Source organism: Homo sapiens, chromosome 8, assembly GCF_000001405.40.
Source record: "Homo sapiens chromosome 8, GRCh38.p14 Primary Assembly".
Lineage (NCBI taxonomy): Eukaryota > Metazoa > Chordata > Mammalia > Primates > Hominidae > Homo > Homo sapiens.
Window position 1 is genome coordinate 16,104,899 of NC_000008.11, and position 25,549 is coordinate 16,130,447.

Consider the following 25,549-nt stretch of genomic DNA (forward strand, 5'->3'; position numbering starts at 1 on the left):
CTCTCTTTGTCTTTTTCTTTCGGCAGTTTGACCAGTTTGTCTTGGTGTGAGAGTTTTTTGAGATTCTTGGACTTTTAGATTCATGCCTACCATCAAATTTGGGAAGTTTTGTTTAGTATTTATTTACCTATTCTTTCTTCTACTTCCTCTCTGTCTCTGGGACTCTCAAAATGCATATTTTGGCCCACTTGATGGTGTCCCACATGTCCCTTAAGCTCTTTTTACTTTTCTTCATTATTTTTTTCTATCTGCTTCTCAGACTCAATTTAAATTGTCCTATTTTCAGATGAACTAATTCTCTTGCTTGTTGAAATCTGCTGTTAAAGCCCTCTAATAACGTTTTCATTTTAGTAATTGTATTTTCAGATGCAGTTTCTGTTTGGCTCTATTTTTTGTAATTTTTGTATCTTTATTGATATTCTAATATGGCTAACACATTATTTTTCATATTTCCTTTCATTCTTTGTCCATTACTTTTTAAAGCATATTTAAGACAGTTGTTTTAATGTCTTTGTCAAGTAGGTACAACATCTGTACTTCCTCAGTGACCATTCTTTTAATTTCTTTTGCTTATTTTTGTTTTGTGACTATCCTGAATGATTTTTACCAAGACTGTGTTCCTTATTGTTGATGATCACTGGAGTCTCTTTTCCTTACTTTGTGTTAAGCTAGTGTTTTTGAATGCCAAGCACTAAAAACAGAAATAAAAGACAAAACACAAAATCTGCAGCAACCAACACAACCAACAACAATCCATCTCCCTCAGTATTTGCAGATTGTTTCTGAGCCTGGGCACGCCGTTAACACTTAGCCAGATTTGCACTAATCCTAGAGATCAGCCCAAGGTGAAAGTTTAGGTTCTTTTCAAGGCATGTGTTTCGCCCTGAGCATGCATGCGGCTTTCTAAACTTCCCTGCATTCATTTTTTTAAACACCCTAATTTCCCAAAGAAACTGTCTTCAGTTTTTGCTACCAGGCCTTATGCTCTCTACTTCATGTTTCAACTATAATGTTGTGACCCATGCATTTGAGGGTTGTTATTTCAGCTAACAGTGTTTTTGAACAACGGCCACTGCTTTACCAACCTGAATTCAAAATTAAGTGAAACAGAGTTGAATGCTTTGCATCAGTCCTTCAGGGAATTTCTTAGACAGATTAAAACAGACAAACACAACTGTTTGTGAGGAAGGTCATCTCTGCTTCCCATGGAACCAGGGCCCAAGGGCCCAAGCTACGAATGTAGACTGCCTACCACTACCTCAAGACAAAAAAAAAAAAAAAAAAAAAACATTGCTGCATCCAGGAGGAGGTAGGGGGAAGGCAGGTAAAAATATCACAAACTTTACTGTTGTTTCAAAGTTGCCTTTTTCTTGACTCAACATTTGCTTAGTTGCTGTAAAATTCTGAATTTTTTCAGAGTCCTGAAAAAGTTGATTCTGACAGTTTCTATTTATTTTTTGATATTTCTCTAAAAGAATGAATTCATGAAGCTGCCTACTCCACCATTTTGTTAATATTGCTCTTTGTTTTTGTTTGTTTGTTTAAGTAAATGTACTCAATAATAACATATACATAAGTTCTTGTTAAGATATTAACATTTTAAAAACATAAATTCTAAGAGTTTTAAATATAAATTACTCTGCAAAGGAAAATAGCTGATAAATAACAGAAAGGAATACATATTTCAGTATGTTATGTAACCAGAAGATTGGTGTGGTTAAAGAAAAACATTTTAAAATGTATTACCTACCATTCAATAAAGAAAAAGTGCAAAGAAAATGCATAGTTGAAAAAAATCAGGCTATATTATGGTTTTATGTGTGATTAAAAGCCAAAACCACATCTAGTGCCAAACACATGTTCCTAAAATTCCTATATACTGTCTCAATGAATTAAAAAAATCTCAACGTAATCATCTCCTAATTGTGCTTTTCTGAGGGAACATTGTTAATTGTCTACCTGACAAACATTGACTTTTTCCTCCTCTCTGCCATAATCTTGATTTTATTTAGTTAACATGAGATCTTGAGCTTCACCAGCCTTGAGCTTCTCCAACTCCGGAGAGTAAATAATGCTTACCATTGTAACCCAGTGATGGTAAATTTGTATCTCTTGAGTGTGATTGCTTTGGACATACATATCACTGCCATACTGATCAAACAAATGACTGAGGGTAGAAATATTTCATTTTACCCTTCATAGCAAATATTATTACAGTCAACCCTTAAACAATATGTGTTTGAACTGTGCACTGTTCCACTTATACATGGATCTTCCACCTCTACGATTCCTGAGACAGCAAATCCAACTCCCCCTCTTTCTCCTTCTCAGACTACTCAATATGAAAACAACAATGAAGGATGAAGACATTTATGATGGTTCACTTCCACTTGATTAATAGTAAATATATTTCTCTTCCTTATGATTTAATTAAAGTTTTCTTTCCTCTAGTTTATTTTTTTGTAAGAATACAGTACATCATGCATATAAAATGTGTTAGTTGACATTATTAGTAATACAAAAATGGTTAATTGACTATTTATGTTATTGGTAAGGATTCTGGTCACCAGTAGGCTCTCAGTGGCTAAGTTTTGGGGGAGTCAAAAGTTATATGTGGATTTTTCACTGTGAAGGGATCAGTGCTCCCAACCTCTGCATTGTTCAAGGGTCAACTGTATATTATTTGTAATAGGCACATTACAAATTAATGTAATGCTTTACTTAAGTACAAACTACTATGGTCTATACGTTTTGAAAAAATGGAAAGTTTTGATTTGAAACTATTTAGATAATTTAGGTGGAATGTGTTTGGCCCTTAGATATTAATGGTTATTCTTCATTTTCTACATCCCTTTGGTCTTTCTTTTTTCTTCTTCTTTTATTTATATATACATTTTGCATTTAACGTGATGCTGGATGGCTCAACAAGTAGAATACATTCATTCTGGTCAGCTGAGCTATTTTTTCAAAAAAACCAAATCGCAAATTTCTGTTTTTTTTAATGGAACAAATGCAATTCAACATTCCAAAGTAAATTAAGTCCTCAATTTGTATTGGTGCTATTAGGTTCTTTTCTTGACTGGACTGAACTTAGTAGATTCTCTCAAATACAAAAAGGATTTTTAGATTACTTATTAAAGATATATCTATGCATAAGTGGTAAATCAGCATGCATATACCATACAGCAATATAGTATTAACAACCCATAGGCACTGATCTCAGACATCCCAAGTGCCTATGGGTTGTTAATAGTACTATTAACAGTGTCATAGTACTAGTACTAGTAATAGTACTAGTAATAGCAATAGTACTAGTACTAGCAATAGTACTATTATTATTTTAAAGGTAAATTTTATTTTAAAATAAAAATAGTAATAGTAATAGTACTATTATTAGTGTTAATAATACTAATAGTTAATACTAACAGTTAACACTAATAGTTAATACTATTGACAACCCATAGGCACTGATTTCAGACATCCCATGCATACCACTTACGCATAAGTAGTAAATCAGCATACATATACCATACAGCAATACAGTATTAACAACCCAGAGGCACTGATCTCAGACATCCCAAACAGGCTGATAATGCAAATGATTCTTTCAGAAACCATTGTATTTACCTTTTGAAGAAAATACCTAGATAGTGGAACTGAACACAAAGAATTATTAACTAGCTGAAATTACAGCCAGGGTTTGAGACAGAAAGTGTACATTCAGAATTCATTCTCTTAACCACAAAATTATGCTGCCAGAGAAAATCAGCAATGTTAAACAAGTAGAAGAATGTTACATGATAAAAATGCATTTTCAGTAGGCTGTTTACAGTAATTCCAATTCCAAGGTAAGGTTTTGCCTTTTTAAGTTGGACGGCTGTGAGTCTACCACTTGGTTATTATGTGTGGTGAGACTTCAGAATATGAAAAAATGCTTAAGCTTATGCTTTCATTTGCCACTATTAAAGAAAGAACAGTAGAGTAATTCCATAATAGTACTAGTTTACAATTACTTTTTTTGTGAATTAGTCATAGGAAACTTCAGAATTCTGTTATTTTCAGGGCTGAGGTTGAATTCATTTGCGCTTTAATATCAACTGCTGGTCTTTCTGCAGGCAGTCACTTTCAGGGTAGAATTACTGGGTTTCAGGGTAGCTTTTCACACTCTACACTATGGCCCTGGGGATGGGTTGACTACCAACAAAAGGTTGCTAAACTACTTTTTTGGGGCATGCTCAGAGTTATTGTCCCTTTAGGACTAAAGACGCACCCCCCACCCCCCCCCCCGCCCTTTGGTTGTAAATGTTGACTGACTTCATAAAAGACTCCAAACAGTTGAAACCACTCTTCCTTCTGCACTGAAGATGTTTGCATTGTTTGTTAAAATGGATTAATCAGATTTAAATTTTAAACACCATGTCCTAGAATTGTAACAAGCTAATTATTCCATTTAAAGTGCATAACAAACTAAACTTCCTGTTAAGTGGCATTTTTGATCCACCAATTATCTGGACAAATATACTGATGGTCAGTTTTCTCATATGTCCTGCTTTCAATTTACTTCATGATTCAATTAAACAGTTGTCAGTACATGACAAGAAAAATAAGCTCCCTGGTCCATAGTGGCCAAGACATATCATTAACATTGATATCTAATACACAAGTTATTGCACATTGAGATATCTTAATAGTTGGATAACATTCTTATTTTAAAACAATATGTGTGGATTGGAGATTTTGCAATCTAGGCACAAAAGATATCTTCTGATCCCTTCCGTTATTCAGAAAGTAATTAAAATCAACTAAATAGATTACAAAGACAAGAAGAGCAAAAAATTGTAATCTCCTGGTGAACATATTATGAATTGGAGCCAATTACTGGTATGCATTTCTATTACCCTTGGCCTTTGTAATCTGGAAGCTATAAACTTCAAAATGTTCAATTCAGCATATAAGTCATTATATTAGAAAATTCCATTTAAAAACCTATAGAAGTTAAAATGATTTAAATATAGACATAAAATAGTAAGCATGAAGGTGTTCAATATATTAATCCTGTAATCTAAAATATTATTTGGGCAATATTCTTAATCTCTTAAATATTGATTAAATGGATTTTACAGGAACAAGGTAATAAAATCATTTTTGAGCAGCGATTTCATAGTTGTGAATGAAAATATGATGCATTATAAAGTGCAAGTGACTCCAGCATCTTCAGAATGTGAACAGGCTCTTGTCCCCCATTGCCGAATTTTACATTCTTCAATAGATGATTCTCTCCCAAAACAAAACACTTCATTCAGCCATATTGGACCAGTACCTGCAATAATGAGGTATAACTGCATTAGTAAGTTTAGAGTTTAGTGTTTCTCTTTGAGTGGGGCAAAGCCATTAATTCCTTCACTAATTAAACAAAAAAGTGTTGATTATTTTCTGTATGCAAGTTCTGTGCTCTCTAGTAGGAATCAAAAATTAATCTCCTGCTTCAGAACACTTTATACTCTGTTAACATGTAAACTACTAAAATGCAAAGTAAGAAGAGCTCTAACAAAGTTACCTACACAGTTCTATAAAAGTAGAGATTAAGAATGTTTTTTTAAGGATTTGACAAATTAGTTTTATTATTAATCTAAAAATAAAGAAGAAAGTTTGAGCCTTAATAATCATGGGTACATGTAATAACCTGATGATCCAAGCGTATCTGTATGTCAAAGGGTCTTGGGGTATATTTGCACATAAAATAAACCGGAAAAAGGAAAACTTAATATCAGCATCTTCCTCCTTTTGTTATCTTCCCGTGTATTTCAATTTATGTGTGCCTGGTTTATCAAATACATTATCTGTTTTTAATTAAAGTAGAACTAATCTAATCAGCAAAGGGCCTACACACCATCCTGTAAGGAAATCATGGATTAAGAATGCTACTGATTGCAAACACAAACAAACAGCAAGAAAATGACAAAGCAAAGGTTTTCCTGAGCTGATCAATTGTAAGAGTGTTAACAGTAAGTTGGAGAGCCCAAGTATTTTTTGAGGTGTTTATAACAGTATTGAGGCTTTTTTACTTGAAATTTTAAGGCAGAAGAAGGAAAAGAAAAAAGGAATATGATCTCAAAATCAGAAACCTTGCCAGGGACACTTTTTAGTTCCCAAATTATCTTACTAGGCATGGCATGTTTCCTATTGTGTTTGTGATTGTATGTGTGAGCATGTTTGTATGTGTATACGTATTTGTATATCTGTGTTTCCTTATAAGTATATAAAGTCTATAAAAACTTTTTGAAAGCCTCAAAGGGCTACTTAAAAATACAGGCAAATAAAAACAATTGCACAAATAGTAAGACTATTCCCATGTTAATACAGGAGGAAGCCGAAGTACGAGACATTTATAAATTATATCTATTATATTTATTGTCATTTATAAATTGTATAAACAAACAGAAATTAAACTTTTGGTGAAAGCCATGGCTCTGTCATAATTTGGAGAGTGCGAGAATGGCTCCATGAATTGTGAACCCGGGCTACTGTGATGCTTTCGAATTGTATTTTGTAGGTCTACTCAGTGAATTTAGATTTCAGCAGTGCAGAATTTGTACAATCCAGGAAAAGGAAACTGAGAGTGGGAATTCTCCCAATGTCTACAGCACCAGCAAGGCCATCCCAACATGAATAGCAAAGGAAAGAAATTATTTAGTTGACTAATGTGCTGACATGTAAGCACATGTTTTTAGAAATTGCAGTAAGGGAATTCACGAATGTTAGAATACCAAGGTTGTGGTCCTGATAATGAAAATTTAAGTCCAGTCTTTTAAGAATTTCTTATGTGGCAGGAAACACTTATACATGTGATGTATTATTCCATGCAATCCTCAAATAACTTTCAAAAACTGAATGCCATTATTGTGTCATTTTACTGTTGAGGAAACTGAAAATCAGCAAGGATAAGGAACTGTACGTGCTCAAAGTCGCACAGGATTCTCACCCTGTATCCACCCTGAGCCACTGCCTTAAATCAATGACTTACTGCAACCTCCTTCATTATTAGACTTACTTATTTAGCAAATCTCCTTTGGTGCCTACACGAGTGAACAAGACCAAACTCCATACTCTTGTGGACTGACTTCCTGGGAGGGCTTATGTTCTAGGTAGATGAAGCAACTGAGATCACATATACAATCATGCCAGAGCAAATACTGGCATCTAGAGCCTCTGATTCTTATTCTGGTTATTTTTCCTCTGAGGACACATGGATGTGACAAATGTATTGTGGAATTTGGTATCTCTGTCTTTTGCTATGTGGAACAGTTTCAGACACAGTGAAAATTTTTTAAGTGCTTGTGTATAAGGTAATATGCTAGGTCTTTTCACATACATTTCTAAATTTACTTTTTATAATAACCTTGTTAAATAATGATAATTATCTCCATTTCATAGATACATAAACTGAGACTGAGAAAGGGTGTATGACTTTCTCAAATTTACAAAGAATAGATCCAGGCAACAGAACATGATGACACTTAAAGCTTAGTGATATTCATGGGTTACATAGATGTCTAGATAGAATTATAGAAGTAATTTCCAAAGATTTGTTGTTTTATTTTTATATTAATATATTCAAGACTATTGAGCCCAGGGGAAAAATTTATTTAATACACATTTTCCGTCTCATTCCAAATTGTTTTCTGCATTAAAAAGTTAATGCAGATAGTATAAAATTCATAAAATTTTATCCTTGTGTAAACCAATGAGATAAAAAACAAATTTGTTTTTATTTCTTTAGATAATAACTGTTATTCAAGGATCTTCGTTGTTGGGGCTGTCACTGTTATTATTTTTTTTGTGCCTCTGAACTATTCTTTCTATTCGGTGGAAAGCTATACAAAAATTACGTGTGTTTCTTAGATATGTTTTTAATCTCTAATCCTCTTCCTCTCTTTCTCTCTCTCTCATCTTTCCACCTATATACCTAGCCATATATATATCTATGATTTCCTTTATAATTTGAGGGTTGTAGGGATTGATATTGATTATATATTTTTTTTAAGTTTTTTTTTTTTTTTTTTTTTGAGACAGAGACTCACTCCCTCTATCGCCCAGGCTGGAGTGCAATGGCGTGATCTCGGCTCACTGCACTTCCGCTTCCTGGGTTCAAATGATTCTCCTGCCTCAGCCTCCTGAGTAGGTGGGATTACAGGTGTGCACCACCACGCCCAGTTAATTTTTGTATTTTTAGTAGAGACGGGGTTTCACCATGTTGGCCAGAATGGTCTCGATCTCTTCACCTTGTGATCCACCCACCTCAGCCTCCCAAAGTGCTGCGATTACAGGGGTGAGCCACTGTGCCTGACCTCCTCTTCACCTCTTTTTAAAAAATGAAAGATACTGATATTTCTTTGGGGGATTTGGGTATCTTTAATCTTACCAGCATTTCCATGAAAAATAAAAGGTAATCAGTTTCATACATCATCCAGATATATTATAAAATGATGAGATTTGAGATCAGCTGCTGAATAGATAAATGGGAGAGCAAATATCATTAATAGTTAAAAGTGCCTGAATGTGTATTTTCATTATTTCTAGTCATGACTGAGTGACATAAATTTGTATGACTTTTAAGCCTAGTTGGGAAGTGTTTTGTGAACAGTGTCTCCATTGAGAAAAACAATGTAAATTAAAGTTGAAAACACCTTGGGAATCAAAGTAGAGAAGAATGGGTCAATATAGCCTATAGTTTGGATTGTAGTTTTGTGCTTATAGAGAAACCACTCATTTTTCCTCAATTTTATGATATGCAGAATAAAGGAGTAAGGCTAACATAGCTTTAAGACTTTGTCTACCTTTAATATTTCATGATACTAAGATTCTGAAGAAGCAAGCTCTTTAGAAATGAAGATCTTAAGTATAAAGGACTTGGAAGGATGTTCCATCTGGTGGAGAAAGCATGGTATGAGAGAAAGGTTAAGGCATGAATCTTGACCCTTCTTCCCACTCCCACCCACCCCCAACCACCCCCAACCACCATAATGACTACGTAAATTTGTACAACTTTGATGACCTCTGCTAGCCCTACTTATTTTCTCTATGAAAAAAATATGCTATTTTTCTGTGATTACCCAGCTGTATGGACCAGCCCTATACTACTTTCCATAATATTTAACATTCAAATGTTTACATTTTAAAACATTCAACATGCAAGGAGCAGTATGTAAAAATTTGACTTGTGACCCTTTGATATATTTATTTATCTTTGAGATTATATTTACTCCCATTCATTAAGGGATAGTTCAGAGGTATAGAGGTGCATTTTTTGATTGCCTTCTGTTTACCCTTACATTTTTTTTTTGAAAATTTCACATAGAAAATTGATTATGGTATGTAAAAGTGGTAATAAAAAAGCAAAGAAAAGACAGCTAAGAATAACTTTTAAATGGCATTTATGTTTATATATTACTTTTGTTTCTCTTTTCAGGTTTGGAGTTTCAGCACTATAAACTCAGGAGAAGAAGCAATAGTTACTCCAGATCTTACTTCCCTCATCAGCATCCATACAGGCTCAGATATACCTGGAACAAATTCTTGGAGGTACCACTGTTGTATGATAAAACTCATCCAAGTTTGCTGCAGGGAGACCACAGGCACAATAGCTGGGAAAGCCTGGATACGGGGCAAAAAGTGACTCACTCTCCTTTCCCTGCCCTGTGCATTGATAAACAGTAGATGCCCCTCAGTGCTTCCTTAATTAAACTTGTTTTGTCTAGTCAGAAAAAAAGGTGCATCCAAATGAGAGAACCTATTTAAAGGAGCATGCTTGAAACTTTATTCCTATAAGTCATTTTACCTGCAGCTGCAAAACTAATTGTTCTTAAAACTAAGGATTCTATCTGCTAAGCCAGGTTTGCTATTTAAAACCAGAAAAAAATATGTGGAGACTGTCCAAAAATTATATTCTTTCTATAATGGTGCATTATAAAAAGAGGGTTCATTTAAATTGTTTTCTGGCTGGGCACAGTGGCTCATGCCTGTAATCCCAGCACTTTGGGAGGCTGAGGTGGGTGGATCTCGTGCGGTCAGGAGTTCGAGACCAGCCTGACCACCATGGAGAAACCCCGTCTCTACTAAATATACAAAAAATTAGTTGGGTGTGGTGGTGCATGCCTGTAATCCCAGCTACTTGGGAGGCTGAGGTAGGAGAATCGCTTGAACCTGGGAGGCAGAGGTTGCGGTGAGCCGAGATTGTGCCACTGCACTCCAGCCTGGGCAACAAGAGCGAAACTCCATCTCGAAAAAAAAATTGTTTTCTTTTTGTTTCAATTTTGGTAATGATGTACAATATGATATGAACCTGATTCTTCTCACTTTCCTAAGAGAAGGATAAATAATTAAAACAATGCATGTTTCTCTTTTAGTTCTTTACTCATCCACTCATTTTTCTAAGTTTCTTTTCTTGTCTCTACTCTGTATTTAAAATTGCTTTTTCTTTTCCTCTTGAGTGAAACTGTGAATTTAAGGTGGAGGAGTGAAAAAATCAGGAATGTTTTAAATAGCTTTCCATAAAAACCTCGTTTGCCATGTCTAATCCCCAATCAGTGAATAATGTAAGCCTGTCTCTTAAAATACAATATCCAGTGAAGTAGATCATAAAACTTACTTTTCAAATCATTTTCTTCAGAACAAATAATGTTGGTTCTATTTTTTTCTCTCAGCTCATTTTGCTTTATTATTTTAAAATTCTCATAATTATTCTTTAGTTGTTTGGTACTGAACTCTACGCAGGGAGTGGAAACAACAGCTAAGTCAAACCAGGTGCAGTGGTTCACACTTGTCATTCCAGTACTTTGGGAGGCTGAGGCAGGAGGATTGCTTGAGGCTAGGAGTTTTAGATGAGCCTGAGCAACTTAGCAAGAACCTGTCTCTATAAGAAATTAAGATTTAAAAAAAAATTAGCCAGGTATGTGGTGCAGGCCTGTGGTCCCGAGAAACTCTGCAGGCTAAGGTGGGAGGATCGCTTGAGAGCAGGAGTTTGAGGCTGCATTAACCTGTGATTGTACCATTGTATTCCAGCCTAGGTGACAGAGTAAGACCCTGTCTATAAAATAAAAAATCTAAGTCATATTAGTGGGATATCTACTTTGAATTAGCCTTGGAATATCACTGATGTCAATATACAATGTAATAGCGATCTCACTCTTTCAAAGAGAATAGCAAATAAATGTGTGATAACACAGTTTGTGTTGCTGCTAGCAGTGATCTCCTTCAGTAGTGAGCAATACAACATTGTGAGTCAGATTTTGTACTGGGTGCTTTCCATATGCTAGTTAACTCAAGCTTCAAAACAAATCTGCCAGGTCAGTATTATTCTCATTTTATTGGAAAGGAAATTGAAATTCTGAAACACAATAACCACAGCTAAAATTTAAACTTGCAATTTTTTAAGTTAGAAAACTCCTAATCTTTCCAGTTTGCTTCACTAGATGCTGAAAAAATGTAAAAGGAAACCAAAATCCTGACCCACTTTATTGTTTGATGATAATAAAACTCTGGGACAATGTATAGAATCACCAACTACCATAAACAAACAGCCTCCTGAAAATTTAGACAAATTATGTCAAGAAAACTTGAGAGACTTATCTCCACATAGCCAAGTAAGTAACTTCACATGAGACTAAACTCTGTCATTCTATTCCTTATTTAAGTTTAAAAAAAACCATTTTCTTCTTAGTATCTCAGTATACTTATTATCTTCCTTTCTTACCAGTTCTTTAGACCAGAAATCCCTACTTTATAGAGATATAAGCAGGAATGAATAAAAGTTTTGAGGAAAATACTATTTTACTCATGAGACTAAGCCTTAAAGTTAATACAATTTTAGGACAATAGTCTTCAGCTATGTTTTTCTCACCTATGTTTGTAACTCCAGTGGAAAAATATCTTTGAAGTCCATGGCAAAGCTTCATGCTCAGAGAAGAAATAAAGCTAGAGATGACGTCTTGTTCACTTTCATACTACAGGCTGTATGTTGCCAGCACTTACTAGCTTTCCTTGAATTAAAGTACATATACTACTACTGTTGCTCTCCATTTGATTTTCTCTTTGTAATAGATGAAAAAGCCTCACCTCAGCCACTGTACTACTGGGCTAGTTTCTTAAAGCAGGGGTCCCCAGCCCACAGACCATGGACCAATAGTGTCCATGGCCTGTTAGAAACAAAGCTGCACAGCAGGAGGTGAGCAGCAGGTGAGTGAGCAAAGCTTCATCTGTATTTACTGCCGCTCCCTATCACTCACATTACCGCCTGAGTGCCACCTCCTGTCAGATCAGTGGCAGCATTAGATACTCATAGGAACACAAACCGTATTGTGAATTACACATGTGAGGGATCTAGGTTGCACGCTTCTTATGAGAATCTAATGTCTGATGATCTGAGGTGGGGCTGCAGCCGTGATGCTAGAGCTGGGGAGCGGCTGCAAATAAAGATTAACATTAGCAGAGAGGTGTGACGGCACAGAGACAATAGTAAATCAATTGCTTGTAGACTCATATCAAAAACCCTGTCAGTGAGTGGAAAGTGACAAGCTGCATCTGATGGCAGGCTTTAGAGTCGAAAGTGAGTTGATGTACTTCAGTTGTACAGCTGCTTTTGGTGCCTTTAAAGGTATGTTTGAGACAACTTCAAATTTCCATACATTCTGGATTAAACTTTCGAAGCAGAATATCCTGAAATTGCCACAAAAGCACTGAAAAGCCTGCTTCCATTTCCAACATGCTATCTTAGTGAAGCAGGGTTTTCTACAGTGATAGCAACCAAAGTGAGATTATGGAGTAGACTGTACATAAGCAACACACTTCAGGTGTCACTGTCTCCCATCAGCCCCAGATGGGACCGTCTAGTTGCAGGAAACCAAGCTGAGAGCTCCCACTGATTCCACATAGTGAGTGGAATAATCTACATCATAATAAGTTGTATAATCATTTCATTATATATTACAGTATAATAATAATAGAAATAATGTGCACAATAAATGTCATGTGCTTGAACCATCCCCAAACCTTCTCCCATCCCTGGTCTGTGGAAAAATTGTCTTCCACAAAACTGGTCCCTGGTGCCAAAAAGGTTGGGAACCACTGTCTTAAAGAAACAATGCTAAATACAGACTTGTCAGATCTCTGCATAATATAAGCATCAAAATAATTCATCCAGACTAGTGGTATTTTAGGATACTTTTCTTTTTTTTATACTGAGCTTGTCTGCATTGATTATATTATCTAAATAACTGGCAAATTTTATACTTCATTTTGTCAACAAAAGCACATCTTGAGAATCCAAAACATCTTTTATTTCTAAAGCTGAAGAATCATCAGTCATTTACCAGGTGACTAAGAGCATGGATAAGACTCGTTATGTCCTCTATTAGAACTGTGGGTGTCCCCTTCATAGATGGTAACAGTCACTTGAAATGTTTTATACAATTATGTATTTTAAATAAATGGTCTTTCATTCTGTGGATGTTAGTTATCATAGAAATGGATTCTGTTCCCACAAAACAATTTGGAAACGTGGGCTGGGTGGCGTGGCTCACACCTGTAATCCCAGCACTTTGGGAAGCCAAAAATAACTACCAAATATACAAAAACTAGCCAGGTGTGATGGTGCATGCTGGTAGTCGCAGCTTCTCAGGAGGCTGAGGAGGGAGAATCACTTGAACCCAGGAGGCAGAGGTTGCAGTAAGCCGAGATTACACCCCGCACTCCAGCCTGGGTGACAGAGGGAGATCTGTCTCCAAAACCAAAAAAACAAAAACAAAAACAAAACAGAAAACCAATGTGGAAACTCAGATTGGGAGCTCAGTCTTGTTAAATAACTGATGGCATCATTCAATTCTCTAGGGATGAAGAGTTGAGGATTTTTTCTTTTTCCTCTTCTCCAGAAAAACAAAAAAGAAAAACAAAGAAAACAAAAGCAAAAATCTAGCTGTTGACCTTGAGAATATCTTACTATTTTACTTTTGGAGATAAATTTTATAGGTGCAAGAATGATTTCAAACCCACACTTTTCAACCTGGGAAAAATGTTCTAAATATGGGACAGGGATGGAAAATTTGGAAACTCCACAGATCTCTCTGAAGCTGTTTATTTCCTTTGTTTCTTCTATGTAAACCTTTAGGGTGCAAGTTAAAAACTACGGCCAGGGGCTGAAACTGGCTACAGAAGTTCTGCACATTACCAGTCTATTTTCTGACATCTCCTCTCTTCATGAAATTAAATTATCCTTCTGGGACCTAAAGACTCTAGAACCTGAGACTTCTGCTTAAATCCATCTCTTAAACCTAATATGATAATTATTATCATTATTTTTTTAGACGGAATCTCACTCTGTCACCCAGGGTGGAGTGCAGCTCGGCTCACTGCAACCTCCACCTCCTGGGTCCAAGTAATTGTCCTGCCTCAGCCTCCAAAGTAGCTGGGATTACCGGCGTGCACCACCATGCCTGGCTAATTTTTGTATTTTTAGTAGAGATGGGGTTTCACCATGTTGGCCAGGCTGATCTCGAACTCCTGACCTCAAGTGATCCACCCACCTTCAGCATCCCAAAGTGCTGGGATTACAGGTGTGAGCCACCATGCCCAGCCTAATATGAAAATTATTTTAGGTAAAATAGTAAAGGATGTGATTGTGACCTATTATTAACGCTATGCAGGTATTTAACACAATGCGTGGCATATAGTCATTACTCAATAAATCATAGCATATTAGCACTTGGTAATATCTTCTAGGCATTTGAGAAGTTCATCTTACCTTTTTCTACTTTTCTGTAAAAATTTGTTTTTCAGAGACAGGTCTTGCTCTGTCACCCAGGCTGGAGTGCAGCAGCGTGACCATAGCTCATGTAACCTGGAACTCCTGAGCCCAAGCGACCCTCCCACCTCAGCCTCTGTAGTAGCTAGGACTGCAGGTGCATGCTATCACGCCTGGCTTTTTTTTTTTTTTTTTTTTTAATTGGTAGAGATAGGATCTTACTATGTTGTCCACGCTGGTCTTGAACTCATTTATTCCAGTGATCTTCCCACTTCAGCCTCCCAAAGTGCTGGGACTACAAGCGTGAGCCACTGTACCAAGCCTAGACTATGTTCCTGTCACTACTTTATTCTCTGTCTTTAGAGAATGCCTACATTTCATTTTTTTAAAAACAAAATTTTCTGGCCAAGCGCGGTGGCTCTCGCCTGTAATCCCAGCACTTTAGGTTGGCGAGGCGGGCAGATCACGAGGTCAGGAGATCGAGACCATCCTGGCTAACACGGTGAAACCCCATCTCTACTAAAAATACAAAAAATGAGCCGGGTGTGGTGGCGCGCGGCTGTAGTCCCAGCTACTAGGCAGGCTAAGGGAGGAGAATCGCTTGAATCCGGGAGGCAGAGGTTGCAGTGAGCCGAGATCGCGCCACTGCACTCCAGTCTGGGCGACAGAATGAGACTCTGTCTGAAACAACAACAACAAACCTCACAAGATTTTCTTTAAATTACCTTGTCCAAAGTGAGCTGCCTTGTGCACGGCTTGAACACCTGGGTATCCCAAGCTCCTACAGACGACCTGTCCAACGCGCACTTCCCAGCGATCGTCACAAATTGTACCCCACTGGCCGCTGTGGAGTATCTCCACCCTCCCCTCGTGAGGGCCGCTCCCACCGACCAGTCGAACTTTCGTAAATGGAGCTGTAAAGTTAAAAAAAAAAAAAAAAAAAAAAAAAGGCAAGCAAGGACTAATTATGTACATACTGCTTTACAGCACTTTTTTTTTAAACACAAAAAAATGTTTAGCACATTTTCCAAATAACTTCAACTATTGGAATAAATATTAAACTTTCTAGCACCACCTATTGGTAAAGAGTTTAACTGCAAATATTGCAGCTTTAACAGCTGTTAAGAGCAAAATCCAATCTGTCTTACATGTAAGTTATATATACGAGGACACGTCACAGATTATATTCCAACGAGTTTGAATTTTGACAGATACAAGTTTATTGTCACTTAGATTTTTTCATACCATTGAAAAATTATAACTAAATGGTTCATTATTTTCTTGACATACAAACATACAAACTTATCAACATACAATGCAGAGATTTTCAATACTATAGGAGGGCGAGGAGCAGATATTTTAGAATATCATAAACACAAAAATAGGTGATCAAACTTCATATCTTTTCCCAAGGGAAACAAGGGAACTATAGTGACAACCTTCATTTAGAAATAGCAAAGACTTTCCTTGTTGTGAGGTTCCTGGATTCTGTAACAAAGATTTTTGTGTTTTTCCTCTTTAGAAAAAAATATTAACGAGATAAAAAATCAGACAATTTTGTTTATTTTTAGAAGTGATTCAAATAGTAAACTACAAAGAAATAAACTTTGTTTATAATTATAAAAGTAATTTTGTTCTGTAATGTCTAATCAAAATGACCATATGTACAATAAACTTTTGTAAAATCTTGATCATGCTACAGAAAGATTTACATAAATATGAAATGGCTCTTTTCTATTTTTAAAAACCAATATATATGCACTTTGACCTAGTGACAGATTAAATAAAATAGTGCAACAAATATTATAAGAGCAATTCACTTGGCGTATGAAAAATCTCTCAACAGCCTGTATTATTCTGCTAAGTATTTGTTTAGAAAATTATTTGGCTAAAGAACAGAATGAAAGGCAGAGATGAAAAATTATTTTTAAAAATTTAGTTAATATTAAATAAAAATAATATTTTCTAATAATCATAAAAACTAATAAATGTAATTCTACGTAAACAAAAGATAGCTTTTCAAATATAAGTTTGAGGAATGTTATATTATAAAAAAGATGTAATTTTCATAACAAAAATATCTCTCTAATGTGAAAATGGAGTTTTAAGGAATGGGTTTTTGGAGCTCAATTAATTGAAGAAATATTCAGTAACTTCTTTTTCTCCAGTTTGAATTCATTTTGTTAGAACGGTAATCTAATAACATTTAAAGTTACTAGATTACTGTTTCAACAAATGTTTTTAACTTATGCTTATTACTGTTTTAACAGTAATTTAATAACATTTAAAGTTATTAGATTACTGACAATTTCCTGTAATGAAATTGAGTGACCTGAGCTATGCAGAAACATAAAAGGTGGCATGTTACTATATATATAATTATAATTATTCTCTTGATTCTTCCAAAATATAATTCAGTGCTAAATACTGATTTAGTGTAAGCATGCCTGAGTGGATAAGTCCTTCTTCACTTAATAAGCATAAGTTAAAAACACTTTAAAACATGAAAATAATTTGTTATTATAGTATTTCAACTTTCATTTACTAGTAAAATTCCTGAGTGGCCCAATCATTTCCTGTAATTGCCTAAAGAAAACGAGAAAGAAAAATCCAAGAATGGATTGTGAGAAGCCTTTACATATTAGAGACATGTTTTATTAACTAGTGTGATATCCAAATGTTTATTTTTATACAAGTCAAATATATCCAAACATAATATATTTATCATGCATGCATGCTATGAAAAATCAGGCATACTCAAACATTTGATTATATGAGCATCGTTGTCCTGTTGTCCAAACAAGTGAATGTAAGCATTCTCACTGCCCATTGTTTACCTCTTACTCCTTCCAAAATGTCATAAATGAGCCTTGCTTGTCCTGGAGCAGTGGTTCTCAAAGAATAATATGCAGCAGAACAAGCTCCCAACAGCTAATTCTGTTGGTCCAGGGACCACACTTTGAGAACCACTAACCTAGATGATTGCAGTATATATTTAGAAGAGGAGACATATTATATCAGAAACAGATAGTGCTGCTGATACAATCCTTTCATCTCATTTATTGCAAAGGGAATGGCTGACTGTAAATTTCTGCCAAATTCCGTATGCTCAAGGGATCCTGAGGGGGAGTAGGTACCTCTATTCAAATTCTTTTTTTTTTTTTTTTTTTTTGAGACGGAGTCTTGCTGTCTCCCAGGCTGGAGTGTAGTGGCGCGATCTCGGCTCACTGCAAGCTCCACCTCCCGGGTTCAAGCCATCCTCCTGCCTCAGCCTCCGGAGTAGCTACGACTACAGGTGCCTGCCACCACGCCCAGCTAATTTTTTGTATTTTTTAGTACAGACGGGGTTTCACCGTGTTAGCCAGGATGGTCTGGATTTCCTGACCTCGTGATCCGCCCGACTCGGCCTGCCAAAGTGCTGGGATTACAGGCATAAGCCACGGCACCCGGCCCTCTATTCAAATTCTTTAGGGCCAAATATGCTTGGGTATGCTGATCCATATCTGTCACCTGAAATATTTTTCAGTTATAAATAAACTATTGACAGGTGACCACACATTGCTGATCCTTGACCATCTCTGAAGTAATATAGAGGAAAGGCGTCTCAATAGGTCAGTAGACTCATTTGAGAGTTGGCTTCACCTACTATTCAACTGCTCTGTTTTGGTGATGTAGAAAAGTTCATTTTGTCATCAACCTTGATCATAGGATTTTCTCTGTAAGACTGAAGGATCAAAACTTCTCTGAAAGTAGCTAATTCACTGTCACAAAGATGTAAAGAATGTCTGTCGTTTCTTTGGCAACAAGCTAATATATTTAGTCAGATAGGGCTTTTTTTTTTTCCATTTGGGTATTTTTATCTTGTATATAAAGATTTCAGAAGACATGTATATGTGTGTGTGTGTGTGTGTGTCTGGATAGCTGTTTCCTCTTTATTTGTGTAGACATTTTCTACATTCAAATCAAATAAACACAGATAAGCATAGACTATGTGCCTAAACGATTTCGTGTATTATTATTTTTTAATTGGTGAAAAAACAGAAACAGAAACTAAAGTAATTTAAACCAAAACCAAAATAATAATGTATTTTAAGGACACTGGATGTTTCATAGAACCCAAGGATAAGATTATAGTTAGGTATCTGCAATAGCTGACCCAAGACCCGAATCTGCTTAGGAGTCTCCAACTTGTACTCAAGCTTCTTTCTGTAGGTTGCTTTATTATTCTTTTTTTGTTGCAAGCTAGATATCTTTGCTCTCCTGTTCACTTGATAGAACATGTCTGTTAACAGCTCCTAAGTTTATATTTTACAGTTTCTTTCTTGATGACAGTTACTGTCTCTTTCTCAGTGACAGACTGACAGTTCTGACACTCACCTAACTTGATATTTTACAGCCTATTTCTTAGTGATAGTTTCTAAAATATCCAGGGAAGTTCTTCTATGGCCTAGTTTGGGCCAAATGCCCACCTGTGGACTGGACAAACAGGCCGAGTCACTTGCATGAACATGGCATTCCCACAGTGAGAATGGGGAGGCATTTCCTTGTTGAAAGAGTTTTGAGCAGACAAAAAATCTTAAGTCCATTCCATAAAAGATATTTTAATAATCTTGGTGCATTTATGCAAATATTTGCTGTTTCTTTACAGAAAAAGTTTGGGAATCCCTGGTAGAATTACAAACATAGTAGACGAGAATGATAGAGGATTTCCTGGGAATACTCTTGTCAAGTGACTTGTGGAATAAATAAGGTCATGCTTAATCTCTGCTCACCTTTCCAACCTAACCCTTGAGAAATTCTCCCCACCTGCACTGCTTTGTCTTTTTACTTTATATATAACTACTCACATTTTCCAAATAAGTCTCATTCTCCTTTATTTCTGGGGCTTTGGTTCCTGTCTGGAATGTTCCTTCTTCCCTTCCCACTTCCCCTCTCATTTCTACACTCTCAATCTCCAAATTTCGATTGGTTACTCAATAGCACTATTACAGATGCTATACCAAACTGCAGTAAACTTGTTTGTTTTCCCCAGTAGACTGAAAGAAACCCGTTATAGTCATCTTTTCAGCATCTGACAAGATGCAAGTTGTCACTCAGTAGTCACTTGAGGAAGAGTTATGGCATGAATGAGTAAATAAATGAATGGTAAGCTTCTCTTGATACATGAACTGCATTACCCAGTGAGATTAAATTGGCAAATGCTTAAAATATCAAATCATAGAAGAAACTGAATTTAATATTTCATAAGTCTTCAGAGGGAATAGAATATAGTTTCTATGAGTAGAAACAGAAAAATCATGAAGGAAAGATTGATTTAACTGGCATAAACATAAGTGTTTTTATGGAAAAAAACCCATATGGCTGGCTACTGAGAGCCTCTCCAAATACGAGCTTTTGGTGGGAGGCTCTGATCAGAGAAGCCTGAGACATTAGAAAATCTGATCTTGTCAGCTCAGTGAGCAGATCTATCTCTTAGAGGCAGACTAATGTTAAACAGAATCTTGGGACTAAATGTCAATTCAATTTACAATGAGAAATGTAATTGCCTTAAAAACTGGAATATTTGAATCTGCTTGACAAGGCCACTTTCTCCCCTTGGGAAATCTGCATGGGAAGGCAAATCACAGTGAGTGAACTCTTAGTTTAATTAATTTATTAATTTACAAAGAGACTTAGCAGTGAGATTTTGCTTCTGGGATGGCCAATGATCTTTCGTTAACACATTTTTCTTTATATATGTTAATACATTCAGTCAGGTAAAATGATTTGACATATCTCTGCTGATTCATTGAATGTTCATTCTATAGTTTAACTTTTTAAAGGCAATCTCACTATTCTTATGTCCCATTTCTTTACATCTCTATGACAATGAGTTAGCTAGTTTCAGAGAAGTTTCAATCCTTTCTTTAGGAAAGAACTGGGACATAAGAATAGTACATACATATGTAGTAAATGCACAAAAACATGAACGGAAGGAAACAAACTCCAGGATAAAGGTTTACCCTGGAAAGGAAGACAGGTAGACATACTGGTACTTCAACTCTGCTCATAACATTGTATTTCTTTTAAAAATTTTTAAAAGTTTTTCTTTAGAGATAAGGTGTCCCTGTGTCTCCCAGATTGAAGTGCTGTGGTGCAGTCATAGCTCACTGCAGCCTCAAACTCCTGGGCTCAAGTGATCCTCCTGCCTTGGCCTCCCAAGGTGATGTGATTACAGGTATGAGCCACTGCACCCAGCCAAAATTATATCTCTTAAAAAACAAATACTTGTAATCAAGATGGTAAATGTGAACATTTCAAAGGTCCAAGTGGTACACATGACTGTGTATTAGCTATTTATTATAAATATTATTTCTTTTCTTTATTTTTGAAATATATTTTATTTAAAGAAGGAAACAACACATTCACTGCAATGTTCACAGAGCCATACCTGAACCCTGCACAAATTATTTAAAGTGTTCCATATATGAGTCTACCCTTAAAAGTTAGAGAAAAGATACTACGAATCTATTCATCGCTGTTAGAAAGACAACATTCAAACTTGAAAAGTCAGGGAACATGTAAGGTCTTCTTTGCATGTGTCAATTACCACTACTCAGTGGAAAGAAATAATCGAACATAGAAATGACTTTTGAGGAGCATAACAGTTATTATCCTATTGTTTACTCATAGTCATGATTTCCTTTTTGTATCATTTATTGGAATTAGGATTTAGGGTTAAATTTATTACAATGGTAGTTATGATATTTGAGATGCAAACATAATACAGAAATTAAAAAAAAATCTGGTTGCAGTTTGACCTGAAAGTTCTCACAACATGGCAAAATTCCTTTAAGAAGATAACTGATTCTTTATTTAAGATAATTACCTTAATGAGATACTTAGCAATGAAATGTGCAACCCAAATATCAGATACCTGAAGAAACTGAGTTAAATTTCTCTAGAAAATTTCTCTAGAAAAATAACATAACATATTGTGTTACTCCTAAAGCCAGGGAGACAAGTATTTGGGACAGAGTCAAGAGGAGATATTTTTGTATTTTTTGAAGAGACGGGATTTCACCACGTAGCCTAGGCTGGTCTCCAACTCCTGAGCTCAAGCGATTTGCTTGCTTTGGCCTCCCAAAGTACTGGGATTACAGACATGAGCCACTGCACCCGGCCATAGGTATAATTTTGCACAGTTTACTTAATGGTTCTAAATCCTCATGGGGAGAACACCAGAGTGATAGATTCCTTGTGGGGATTAAGTAAAGGAGGTATATAAAGTGCTTTTCAGAGTGTCTGGTACAGAGGGTTCATTCTACACATTATAGGTATTATTGATACTATTATTTCTTAAAAATTCAAATTTCTGGCCTAATGATGGGGAATAGGTGATGGGAGAAAAAAAGTATCATATATTAAATAGCAGTTTCTCAACTACTTTGTGCTTCAGAATCCCAAGGAGAACTTTTGGAAATCACATGTATCAAGGCCACAGCACAAACTCCCTGAAATCAGAATATCTGTGTGTCATGTCCAGGCATCTTTATATGATAAAAGCCTCACGAGTCATTCTGATGTTCACCATATCCTGAGCCCAACTTCTAGAACAATACTAGAATACATATGACCACTTAGAGAGTTACAAATCATTCGCATTATGGAAGAATTAAACTAATACATCGCCGCCCAATAAGCAATCAGCAAGACTATTTCTAAACATGATTGAACAAGATAGTGAGTTTGATCCACTTTTTAGTGCCCTGGACCCTGCATTCTGAGATTTTTAAAGCAAATCTTGTCTTATCCACCATTTGGTAATTATCTTTTCGGGTTAGGCAATGAGTATATCTTATCTCTACACACAATAGCTTGTCAAGGGGAAAGCTCAGGATCAAAAGTAGAGACAGAGTTATTTTGAAGGAAAAAATGCGGCATTCTTTCTTAGCCATGGCTAGATGTTAAGATAATGCCACACAAGAGCTGACTTCACAATGAATATAACATATCTAAAGAGAAAGAGAGAGCGAGACTGAGTCCAAATGATTTACTTTGAACACCTGGATCCTGCTATGCCTGAAGCCATCTGTGGGAATTGTAATTCTTAATTATGTAAACCAATAGACTCTATTTTGTGATTAAAGATGTTTCTGTTACTTTCCACTTAACAGTTCTTACAAATATCTCCATGGTGATTATTTGTCAAAGAATATTAGAAGTGATTGCCCAGGTCATCCTGTTTGTCATTAATCCCATCACCATTGGTTATTGTCTGTTTAAACAGCATTATTCTGGTAATTTTTATTATCTCATGAGACAATGTAAAAGAACATCACTGAAATGTAAATACACAATATTGGCAGTAAACAAAAGTGAAATTGTTCTCATAACTATAAAAACACCAGAATGCATCAAATTTACTTATGGTGCAATTTAGGCCCTCTTTAAGAACAAAGTTACAGAAACATAGACAAAGAAAACTGAATTCATCCTGAAACAGTTCCAGCCGTGTGCTGCAGAGATCCTGCCCACAGACAGAGGATCAATTCTTGATACCTTCCTATTATGTACTGAATTGTGTCGCTCCAATATTCGTATGCTGAAGTCCCCAATGTGACTATATTTAAAGATAGAGGCCATATGGAGGTAATTCAGGTTCAATTAGGTCATAAGGGCAGAATCCTAACTTGATAGGACAGGTGCCCTATCGGAAGAGATAAAGACACCAGGAGCTCAGTGCTCACACAGAAACTGCCTCATGAAGTCACAATGAGAAGGGGGCCGTCTGCAAGCCAAAGAGAAGCCTCAGGAGAAGCCAATCCTGCCCCCAGCTTGATCATGGGCTTTTAATGTCAAGAACTCTGAGGAAATAAATGTCTATAATTTAAGCTACTTTATCTGTGGTATTCTGTTCTGACAGCCCAAGCAGACTAATACGTTTTCTTTTTTCACTTATGTTATGTTTTTACTTGCAAACGAGAAATAGCATACTTCAGTGCATATAAACTTAAAAATACAAGCTGCTTCTTTAATTTATAGGTGGAGTTAAGCTACCATACTTGCTATGTTGTGATTTGAACACACTGAAAATCTCTTTTCCGAAAATAATCACTTTGTCCCTAAAACACCTACTTTAAAAGCTGATTTTTATTCAAAAATGACATAAGTACTTACGAAGGACCTATTAGATGTTTTAATACGTTAATAATAATAATATGTTTGTTAGCTTACACTCTGTGATTGATAAAGCACATGTCCTTTTGGTGCAGAAATAGTATTTCTAGGTGCAGGTAATGTACTGGGTAACAGGATTAAGTGAGAATGCAACAGGGAAGAGTTCGAGGTGGAAGATGTTTTATAATAAAACATAATCATTTTATAGGGGAAATAAGTTTTGCTGTAAATCATATGAAGTTTTAGTGAAAATACTGTACACAGAAACTGAATATTTGTATGCAGTTAAAGAGGTTTACTTGTTCTTTGAACTTTCTAGGAAATAAAAATGCAGAATTATATAAAACGTCATTAGGAAATGGGTCATTTTGCTAAATAATTCACATTAGAATTCCTTTATATAGGTCCCTAAAATACCTGAGGGTCCAATGTTTTACTTTGGCATGGATTAAGCAGGATATGAGTAAGAAGTAGAAAATGAAAATAACTACAGCATCCGGGAAAGGATTAAGAGTCTGTAGGCTAAGCCATAATGGGGGAATTTCTTGGAGACTCCATGTGAAACAAGCCAACTGTGTCGTTCTAGGAAATCTCGTCTTAAGATTCACCTCAGGTTGGGTGCCGTGGCTTATGTCTGTAACCCCAGCACTTTGGGAGGTCAAGGCAGGCAGATCATTTGAGTTTAGCAGTTAGAGACCAGCCTGGGCAAGACAGCAAAACCCCGTTCCCTACAAAAAATTTTAAAAAACAGCTGAGTGTGGTGACCTGTGCCTGTAGTTCCAGCTACCTGGGAGGCTGAGGTGGGAAGATCACTTGAGGACAGGAGGCAGAGATTACAGTGACCCAAGATCATGCCACTGCACTCCAGCCTGGGTCACAGAAAGAGACTATCCCCTCAACACGCCCTAAAAAAGATTTACATCTTAAGGGCAGGACATTTCCAGAGACGATCGGCTGAAGGGGGCAAATAATAGGCTGTGAGCCCATACAAGTCCAGTGCTTGAATTTGAGCAAAATAAATAATCTTGTGTGAGTATCAGGCTAAATTTCTTACTGCAGAATAGGAAGCCTGGAGTTGTTTCTTCAAAGGGCAGGAAAGGTACTTGGTACTCAGGCTATGGAGGAAAGGGAAGTGGAGTGTTGGGCCTCTGCTTCATCTGCATTCCTGCACATAATTGCATGAATTTCCACTTTTGCTGCTGTGAAAAATGGGGCTGATGTTTTTCCTTCTAATTGGTTCTGGTGAGAGTGAGGCTGTGAGAGTCAGCTGGGATAGGGACTAAGCAGGACAAGTGCTAACTGCTGGATCCATAATTGATTTAAATCTCTATTTCAAACGACACAACATACAGGTATATCCTGTTTTATTGGTCTTCACTTTATTGCACTTCACAGATCCTGCATGTTTTACAGATTGAAAATTTGTGGTAATTCTGTGTCCTGCAAGTCTGTCAGTGTCATTTTTCCAATAGCATGTGCTCGCTTTGTGTCTTTGTGTCACATTTTGCAAATTCTCACAGCATTTCAAACTTTTCCTTTGTTTCAAATGCTTTCTTCTGCCCCCACTTAGATGAGCACTGTATTTTATCTTTAAGT

General features: G+C 36.2%; 1 protein-coding gene across 3 annotated transcripts in view; it reads right to left on the reverse strand.

The window, feature by feature from the left end:
* The window catches only part of MSR1 (macrophage scavenger receptor 1), an 84,771-nt gene continuing 62,204 nt past the window's right edge, over nucleotides 2,983–25,549 (reverse strand). For 2 of the 3 annotated variants that reach the window (NM_138715.3, NM_001363744.1), the window contains exons 9-10: nucleotides 15,520–15,708; nucleotides 2,983–5,320 (exon numbers count right to left, since the gene is read on the reverse strand). In NM_138715.3, coding sequence (NP_619729.1) covers nucleotides 5,187–5,320; nucleotides 15,520–15,708 — 323 coding nt within the window. In that variant the 3' untranslated portion in view covers nucleotides 2,983–5,186. The remainder of the gene's footprint in view (nucleotides 5,321–15,519; nucleotides 15,709–25,549) is intronic. The other variant, NM_138716.3, reaches the window with a different exon arrangement.